Source organism: Homo sapiens, chromosome 2 (assembly GCF_000001405.40).
Source record: "Homo sapiens chromosome 2, GRCh38.p14 Primary Assembly".
In the NCBI taxonomy this organism is placed as follows: Eukaryota; Metazoa; Chordata; class Mammalia; order Primates; family Hominidae; genus Homo; species Homo sapiens.
Window position 1 is genome coordinate 189,009,553 of NC_000002.12, and position 10,424 is coordinate 189,019,976.

At 35.4% G+C, this 10,424-nt stretch overlaps 1 protein-coding gene across 1 annotated transcript in view; it reads left to right on the forward strand.

Annotated features, from left to right (window-relative positions):
* The window catches only part of COL3A1 (collagen type III alpha 1 chain), a 38,374-nt gene extending 35,180 nt beyond the window's left edge, over positions 1-3,194 (forward strand). The window contains exons 49-51 of the mRNA NM_000090.4: positions 626-813; positions 1,096-1,338; positions 2,076-3,194. Coding sequence (NP_000081.2) covers positions 626-813; positions 1,096-1,338; positions 2,076-2,222 — 578 coding nt within the window. The 3' untranslated portion in view covers positions 2,223-3,194. The remainder of the gene's footprint in view (positions 1-625; positions 814-1,095; positions 1,339-2,075) is intronic.

Genomic DNA, 10,424 nt, shown 5'->3' on the forward strand with positions numbered 1-10,424 from the left:
ATTGTAATATTTACTTATTGCAATGAATCTAATTATTAAAATTTTCAAATTAAACAAGTGAAAAATTTCAGAATACTGTATAAAATTAAATAGAATATTGTAATAGTTTAAGGTTTTGCATATATTGGGTTAAATATTTCTGAAAAGCAAAATTATTTCAAGTTTTCAAATATCTTGACATGGAACACTGCCTTTGCTAGGAGTCATTTCTAGAAATTACTTAAAATAGGAGACAAGCATCAATCATAGGGATTTCAGCTTTAGAACTATTGGAACAAATCTAGGTTAGACAACCAGCTTATATTATTAAGCAAGATTACATATAATAATCATCTTTTTTTAAAGGAGAGACTTTTGCAAATATTATACAGCAATCAAAAGGTCTTAGCTTAGTGTATCATCCTTATTAGAAACCAAGATGTTGCATTTTATTTCAGTGCTTTCTGTAGTCATAGCTAACTCTTTTACCTCAGCAATTTCAATCAAAAAGCTTCTCTATCATTCTATACATAAAATGCAGACACATTAGCAGTCAACATTATGAATGCCTTTACAGGTAAACAAACAAAATCACTTTATTACTGGATTTTATAACCAATTCCCATTCTTTTTTGTGACTATTCAGGAGAATACTGGGTTGACCCTAACCAAGGATGCAAATTGGATGCTATCAAGGTATTCTGTAATATGGAAACTGGGGAAACATGCATAAGTGCCAATCCTTTGAATGTTCCACGGAAACACTGGTGGACAGATTCTAGTGCTGAGAAGAAACACGTTTGGTTTGGAGAGTCCATGGATGGTGGTTTTCAGGTAGGAAAGGATATACCTTTTTTTAAATAAGTCACCTCTATATCCTTTGTATTCTTCCTATATGTTCATCACAAAGCAAAGTTACTAGGTTGGTACAAACATAATTGCAGTTTTTGCTACTGAAAGTGATGGCATGCAATAAAAATATTTTCACACATAAAATACTCGTACATAAAATATATAAACAGCCCATATTACAATATGCATACACATACTACATGAATCCCTCGCGTGCAGTTACAACTGAAATGTTTGATCTGTTTTATTTGTTCCCTATTACAGTTTAGCTACGGCAATCCTGAACTTCCTGAAGATGTCCTTGATGTGCATCTGGCATTCCTTCGACTTCTCTCCAGCCGAGCTTCCCAGAACATCACATATCACTGCAAAAATAGCATTGCATACATGGATCAGGCCAGTGGAAATGTAAAGAAGGCCCTGAAGCTGATGGGGTCAAATGAAGGTGAATTCAAGGCTGAAGGAAATAGCAAATTCACCTACACAGTTCTGGAGGATGGTTGCACGGTAGGAAACATTTTTCTCAATATAGGTCATAAAGCAGTCAGCATTTTAGTTTAATCATGCAAATTATTTTGAATAGAATAAATAAAATTAATAGGATGAAATAAAGATAGCATTTGGTATGAATTACATACATTGCATCTACTGATTCATTGCAGGGAATGTTAAATGCAACAAAATGGATCTTAGCCTCCAGATGAAAACCAGTTGAAATAAAAGCATTTAAAATTTAAATCCATAATGCAAACTTTATCAGATAATTGGGATAGTTACTATATGTTTTGAATAATACCTGTCACATTAACTCAGTTTGAAATATCTGTTTTTTAAAATTTTAAAGGTTAACTTCAAATCTCTCATTTGTTATTGTTATTTGTGAACAAAGGGAAAACTCACTTCTAATATTAGCGAATTTCATTGTGAGAGACCTATCCTCTTTTTAATAAACCATTTATAAACCTGTTAGCAATGGCCGGAACCAGGCCTCCTGAGGATGCACTGGTCTATAGCAATTGCCCTGCTGCATTTACTAAGAATCCTTACAAGGCATTTGTTTAAGAATATTGTTTATCAACTAAGAAGATTACAGCTTTGAAGTAGAGCAGGTCTCATATACATGAATAATAACATGGCACGATGAATGCTTCTTTAGAGTAAAAAGGTTTTCTTTAACTTGTTAAGTCAGAGTTGTCTAAGTAATTGTAATGTCATGATCATGTACATTTTGTCCTTTTTTACAGAAACACACTGGGGAATGGAGCAAAACAGTCTTTGAATATCGAACACGCAAGGCTGTGAGACTACCTATTGTAGATATTGCACCCTATGACATTGGTGGTCCTGATCAAGAATTTGGTGTGGACGTTGGCCCTGTTTGCTTTTTATAAACCAAACTCTATCTGAAATCCCAACAAAAAAAATTTAACTCCATATGTGTTCCTCTTGTTCTAATCTTGTCAACCAGTGCAAGTGACCGACAAAATTCCAGTTATTTATTTCCAAAATGTTTGGAAACAGTATAATTTGACAAAGAAAAATGATACTTCTCTTTTTTTGCTGTTCCACCAAATACAATTCAAATGCTTTTTGTTTTATTTTTTTACCAATTCCAATTTCAAAATGTCTCAATGGTGCTATAATAAATAAACTTCAACACTCTTTATGATAACAACACTGTGTTATATTCTTTGAATCCTAGCCCATCTGCAGAGCAATGACTGTGCTCACCAGTAAAAGATAACCTTTCTTTCTGAAATAGTCAAATACGAAATTAGAAAAGCCCTCCCTATTTTAACTACCTCAACTGGTCAGAAACACAGATTGTATTCTATGAGTCCCAGAAGATGAAAAAAATTTTATACGTTGATAAAACTTATAAATTTCATTGATTAATCTCCTGGAAGATTGGTTTAAAAAGAAAAGTGTAATGCAAGAATTTAAAGAAATATTTTTAAAGCCACAATTATTTTAATATTGGATATCAACTGCTTGTAAAGGTGCTCCTCTTTTTTCTTGTCATTGCTGGTCAAGATTACTAATATTTGGGAAGGCTTTAAAGACGCATGTTATGGTGCTAATGTACTTTCACTTTTAAACTCTAGATCAGAATTGTTGACTTGCATTCAGAACATAAATGCACAAAATCTGTACATGTCTCCCATCAGAAAGATTCATTGGCATGCCACAGGGGATTCTCCTCCTTCATCCTGTAAAGGTCAACAATAAAAACCAAATTATGGGGCTGCTTTTGTCACACTAGCATAGAGAATGTGTTGAAATTTAACTTTGTAAGCTTGTATGTGGTTGTTGATCTTTTTTTTCCTTACAGACACCCATAATAAAATATCATATTAAAATTCTCCTGTTTTTTGTCACTTTTCAAAGATTTAAAAAATGCACGTCTACATTAAGGAACTCCAGTAATCTTGAAAAAGTATATTGAATTCTAACTCTATAGATTAATAATGCAATAATTTTTAAGAATATAAAATAATATAACATATATTCAGAGTAGAGATAATGCTCAATGAGGAATCCTGCAGATTTTTAGATCATATTTGCAGGAACCCCTGTGGGACATACTGGACACTGAGGGCATTCTGTTTGAAAGGGTCAATCCTTGGAAATGGTAACACAGTAAATCAAGGTATTCCCAAACTGGGAATAATAAGGGAGGAAGATGTTGATAGTTTATCAGAAAGTAATTGTAATACGGGTCTATTGAAATATATTAATATTAAGAAAAATTGACAAGTACCACATGATCTCACTTCTATGTGGAATCTAAAAGAGTTGAATTCATTGATGAAGAATAGAATGGTGGTTTCCAAGGGCAGAAGGTGGGGTGGGGTTGGGAGATTTTAGTCTATGGATACAAAATTGCAGTAAGATAGAAGTTATAAGCTCAAGAGATCTATTGTGAAACGTGGTGACCACAGTCAATAACAATGTATTATATTTTTGAAAATTGCGAAGAGAGTAAGTATTCTCACCACAAGAAATGATGAGAACCTGAGATACTGCATATATATGCATATGTATCTCTGTCTTCCTACATATACATATATATACACATACATATATGTATACACACACACACAAATATATATATATATATATATATATATATATATATATGTATAGAGAGAGAGAGACAGAACTCAAATCAATAGTATGAATTAATAAATTAGATACTTGGAGTTTTATTTTAGACCAAGAAAGATATCTGGAACACAATGTTCTGCCTCCTGTATTTGTAACTTAATGTATCACAGAGAGTAGTTCATTTCATTATATATAGCTCTAACTTATTGTGTGTTATTGATCCCAATACTCAGTTTAATGAACACACGAGTTAAAATTACTTGTTTGCCTATTTGTTTATTTATTTGCTACCAAGTATCTAAAGCCCTATCTCATTGCAGGGAAGTTACAGTTAGATGAGTCTTGGTTGAGGTTAGAGGCCATAGACAGTTGCTTTCCTAACCTGTCTTGAGTTAGGGTGTAGGCAAGTGGCCATGTGACCTGAGCTTGGCAAATCAGAGACACACACCTGAAGGTCTCAATCTGGGGATAATTGTATTCACTTCATATTACTGCTGTAGCAAGTTACCATAAATTTAGTGACTTAAAACCACACAGATTTCTTGTCTTACACTTCTGAACATCAAAAGTCTAAACTGAGTCTTACTGGACTCAAATGCAAGTGTCAAACAAGGTTGTCTTCCTTTCTAGAGACACTAGGGAGAAACTGTGTGTTCCCTTTTCCAGCTTCTAGAGGCTGCCCAGCTTCCTTGGTTCATGAGCCAGTTCCAACATCAAAGCCAGAAATATTTGGTCAAGTCTTTCTCACGTTGTCTCATTCTGACATTGGCTCTTCTGTCTTCCTATTTCACTTTTAAGGAACCAAATGATTGCACTGGGCCCAAATGGATACTCCAAGCTACTCTCCCCATTTCAAGGTCAGTTGGTAAGCAACCTTAATGCCTGCTGCAACCTTAATTGCTCCTTGCCTTGCCAAAAAATGTAATATATTTACTGGCTCTGGGGATTAGGGTATGAACATATTTGAGGGAGCATTATTCCACCTACCAACAATAGTGATGCAAAGAAGTAAAAAGAATTAAAAATCCAGTTTGGTGGTGATCACAGCTATAGTTGGGGCAGCAACCGCCAGATATCAAAAGAAGCATGGCCAACAGTGCCAGAAATGGCATCCAGTGTCTTGTGTTTATGATGGCTTTGCCAGGTTGCTTTTAGGGTATGATTTTGAAGATGGCTCTGAATGTCAGCATTCACTTCATTTTTTGTTGATTTTATGCACCTGGATTCTATAGCTTTCTCTGAATTCCTCTGAATTTCAGATAAAAATCCATAAATTACATTTTTACTTCAGTGAGCTAAAGTTGGTTTAGATTGTTTACAACTAAGCCTGACTAGGCCAGCAATTGGTAACAGCAGGGCTGGCAGGAAGCAGAAATGCAAGCAAATGGAAAGACTCTGAGATCAAATGTTTGTACTAGTTAGGGGTAAAAATAGAAAATCCAGCTTGTATCCGGGAATGAGAATTTGGAAGTCCATGGAAATAGGATTAATCATTTATGATTACATTGAGTGATTTGCACTTTAAAGACAAGGCTTAAGGAGATAAGTGGCCTCTACTACACAACAGTATGTTTGAATTTCATGAGAAATTGCAGGACTGCATGTGAATGTGGCTGCTGTGAATGGTGATGAACAGAAAGAGAATGACAAGTTCAAATCCCTAACTTCTTGATTTAAGACACAGAAGAAAATCTATGCCCTTTCCCTGACTATGCTAAAATAAAAGCATACTATCTTTCTGGAAAAAAAGAAAAAAAATTCATATTTTTGCCAAAGGTTTGAGATACTAAAAACCAAATACAAATCTTAATTCTGCAGATCACCAGACTTCAACATAAATCTAAATGGATTTTCCAATTCTCTATTTGATTCTCTATAATTGGGAAACAGCAAGACCCTGGAAATTTAAATGGGGTTTATGGAAGAATTCTCTTTAAACATTCCAGTTTCACATTAAGTTTCTTTAGACATCTGAAATGGGATCTGCATTCCTTGCCTGGTAATTGTTCCCCCATTCTGAAAATGCAAGCTGACTACAAGAAAAAGCCAATTCTCTTCAGACCTCATTCTCACCACTGCTTATTGTCTCCAGATTTGTAACTGAAGTCAGATCCCAGAATGCCTCAGGGGGTAGCAATTTAAAGGTCAATCTCAGGAGGAGGTTTACACATAAAAAGAATGGAAGGATTTAACTAATTTATATTGTTTAAAATCTGAGAAACGTGTGTAGGAGTGGATTTTGAGATACTAGACAAAAAAGAACAGTGAAATTTGGATAAAATGTATCAATATATGAATGTAACAAAGAGTTATAGGAACATTATAATTATTAACATGGTTGAACTGAACTCAGGCCTCAGAGGTTGCCCAAACTGAATGAATTTGAGACATTACAAACTTTCTGACAGGTGGAGAATGTAATTCAGAAACTTAAGAAGATAGAAATATTGGAATGAATTTATCATATGTGATACAACCATTCACCTTCTGAGTATATTCTCAAGGTGGACCAGTACGGTTTTGAGAAACACGTGGTGGCCTGCATGCCGGCACCTTTGAATAATCTCCTTGTGTGTCTGTAGTCTGAAGAAGGAAGTAGAAAAAAATCTAGCTGAAATAGGCTTCTTGATTCAATGGAGATGACAGGATCCGAGCTTGCAGAGGACAAAGGGCAACTCTAGACTGCCGGAAACAAAGTGAGAATGATATTGTACAAGATAGCAGGACTGTCATGGTAGAAAAAATAAAATGGCATAATTCAGAAGTAATGTTGTCGGTGGCTGATTGATAATGAGAATGATGAGATGTCTGGGACAGTCACATTTATGTCTTTTATAAACAATAATGACAAATATATTTAGTTCAGGTAAAAGAGACCTCAGATCAGCAACCACACAGGCCTCAAGACTTTCTTCAATTCCCAGACTATAAGATGGTTAATAAACCTAGTCTCCTTAAAGGAAGCATAAGTTCAGTGCTTTGGAGGAAATCTCCTGCAATAGAATCACAACTGATAAGCACTTACCATGGGCCAAGCATTGTTCTAGTCACTTTAAACTTATTAATTTGTGTATTACTCACTTGTGGCATCTCATCTATTTCCATAATGCTAGTCATCAATTAAATTAAAGATAATTCACAAATTGACTTCTGGCTTTGTGGAACTAAAGACCCATATATTCTATGGACTAATTGAAATTCCCATCAAAGTTTTGAATATCTGTAATGTAGCAAGTAATATAAAGCTTTTAAAGAGATCATTCCAGGAAGAGAGAAGAGCAATAGCATGAGGAGAGGAATGTTCTGGATGTGTCCAAGGAAAAACAAAGTGAATATGGTTGTGACAAAATCAGTATCTGGGGGAGGAGTACAAGAGAAAGCCATAGGAAAAGAGGAGACAAATCATGTGGAGACCTATAAGAAGGGTGACCATAGGTGCAGCTTTGCCTTGGAAAGTAATAGTTTATGCCTATGTTCCCAATGTCTAATAAGATTTAGTATTGTAGAACTCAGAAATATCCTGATCGGATGACATTATATGGTCACCCTAATTTTATCTGGCCACTGAGGATATTGGCTGTTGCCTCAGTTAGATGAGAAGCCACTGTGATAATGGATGACACAATCTGGCTTGCAGTTTTAGAGTATTTCTGTGACTGCTGTTTAGAGACGACTGACTGTGTGTTAAGAGCAGAAACCATGAGAACAGTCATGAGTCCATTGCAATAGTCTAAGCCAAGGATGACAGTCGTCTCCACCAGGGTGGTAATAGTAGAAGAGATGAAAAGTAGTCATGTTCTGGATACATTTTGAATACAGAGCCAACAGGAACTGCTGACAATTTGGATGTATGGTTTAAGAGAAAGAGAGATATCAAGCATGAATCCAAGGCTTTTGGTCCAAGTAGCTGGAAGAATAGAGTTGCAGCTAAGATGGGGAAGACTAAGGTAAAAAATTTGAGGAACTCAGTACTTTGAAGCTGGGCATGTTACATTTTGGATGCTTATCGCTCTTTTAAGCAGACTTGCTGGAAATCAGAGGAGAGGTCCAGGCTAGAGAAATAAATTTAAGAGTTTCAGCGTATGGCTTTTACATCCTCAGAAATAGAAGAGATCAGGCCAGGCATGGTGGCTTATGCCTGTAATTCCAGCACTTTGGGAGGCCAAGGTGAGAGGATCACCTGAGGCCAGGAGTTCGAGACCAGCCTGACCAACATGGTGAAACCTCGTTTCTACTAAAAATACAAAAAATTAGCCACAGTGGCACGCGCCTGTAATCTCAGCCACTTGGGAGGCTGAGGCAAGAGAATCACTTGAACCCAAGAGGTGGAGTTTGCAGTGAGCCGGGATCATGCCATTGCATCCAGCTTGGGCAACAAGAGCAAAATTACGCCTCAAAAAAAAAAAAAAAGGAAGAAAAGTAGAGAAGATCATGAAATAATAGAGTGTAGAAAGAAGAAAATATGAATGCCTGGGATACTTTAATATTCACAAATTGGAGAACTGAAGAGGAAGCAACAAAGGAGAGAGAGAAAGAATGAAAGGAAACCATGAAAGTGTAGTGACTTAGGTGCCAGGTGAAAAAGTTTAAATTTCAGAATTGTGGCATTAAGGGAAGAAATGAATTTAGAGTCAATGTATTCCAAGACCACTAATTATAGATTTTTAAAAGCAAGGTCAATTGCGGTTATATGAGTTTTTCTGTCTATAAATGGCAGATAGTGATGCAATGCAATCCTTTATATCATAGTTACGTTATCTCGTTATTATCTCTTTCATGATGGAGGATTAAATACAACTTTCTTCACCCTCAAACTGACATTTTAACAAAGATTATTTTACTTCCTTGACTAAAATAAAATGTATTTTATAAAGATTGAGGATGAAGTTAATGCAGCCATTATAACATAATTAGAACATGCAGGAAACTAAGAAGAAAAATAGAGTATACGTGTTCCAGATCAGTGGCTATTTCCTTCAAGTCTTCTAAGCATATTCTAACATAATTGGGATAATACTATTTATGCAATATTGTATGCTGCTTATTTTACTTAACATAATATTACTTTATCCATAAAAATGTATTTTTAAATTTTTGGTCAAATTAGGAGAAATATAGAGGAAACTGTTCTTACAGGATGATGGCTCCAAAGTTAGAAATCACATCAAAGGGAACTTTCTTTTATCTAGTGTATACTAAAATCCTATTTTTCTGGGTTCTGTCTTAGAGGAATATGCCTATTTTTAAAAGTGAGTCTGAAACTATGAAAAAATATTTTCTTTTCATACATAATTCTTCACTGAGTCATAACTCACTAAGCTAGCTTGATACAGTATTGGTGAAAACATTCTGTACAACACAGCATACTTGAAAGATCTCCCCAAATCTCCATATTCTCTAGTCTGCCCCATTGAAGGTTTTCAGAAATCTTGCAAATAATCACTTGTTGAGTCAATGCCATAAACAAAAAGACTATCATCTATGGCTAACATTTTTTATTAAACAAGTTTTTATCTGATATTTTGCTCATCCTTTTTCTTTTCATTGCTTTAATCTTCCTGAAAAACATCTTTACCTTTAAAACTCCTGAATGTTTTCACTAAAATGCATTGAATTACTTTGCATTTTTGGACAATATCTGCTATGATATTTATTAACAGAAATCAGGTTGCCCTTTGAGGTCCATAAAATTTAGAAATAGGAGTTATGATATTTCACGCCAGTTTAGTGATTTTGTGGGATATACTTTCCATTATCTTTAAAATGAGATACCCCATAATGGAGTAGGAAAAGAAGCAAAAGTTAAGCTCTGTCTTTGGTTGAGTTCCCTGAAAACAGACTGTAAGGCAGCTAATGATGAGCAGAAGATTTACTGGGGAGTCATCTTGGGAGATACATCTGTAAGGAAATGAGAAACGTAGGTTTAGACAGAGGGGGAAGCTGACCCCATGCAATTGATGGAGGTTTCAGGGGACTCTGCAGGAAACTCTGGAACTGAGGTGGCCCTTCAGAGTTGCTATAATTCACAGTAAGAGGGATGGGTCTTTTTATTCCTGAATCAGACAGTCATTGACTGTGGGCTGAAATTTGGAAGGGGTGGAGGTTACATTTGTAAAGCAGTCTTCGTGACTGAGGGCAATTCTATGTGAGAGACACTGCTGTGAACTCTCAGTAACAACTATTTTCAGTGGCTGCTATCAGCTGCTATCAATGTTTTGGCTTTGAAAAGGGCATACATGTGGATTACCAAATTATAAGCTCCTCCTATATGTTCAGTACTCTTCTAAACACTATAGGGAAATATATCACATGATTGTCCGTCTTTAGGTGTGTGTTGTCTAGGGTAGATAGGTTGAACCCAAATGAAGTTGCACAAAAGCATTCAAGACAAGCAATTAAGTGCTAAATTGTGCTGAGCTAACTATAAGAGATAAAGATAGTAGATGAGAAAAATAATTGGTCAATGATGATTATATTTTCAGGAC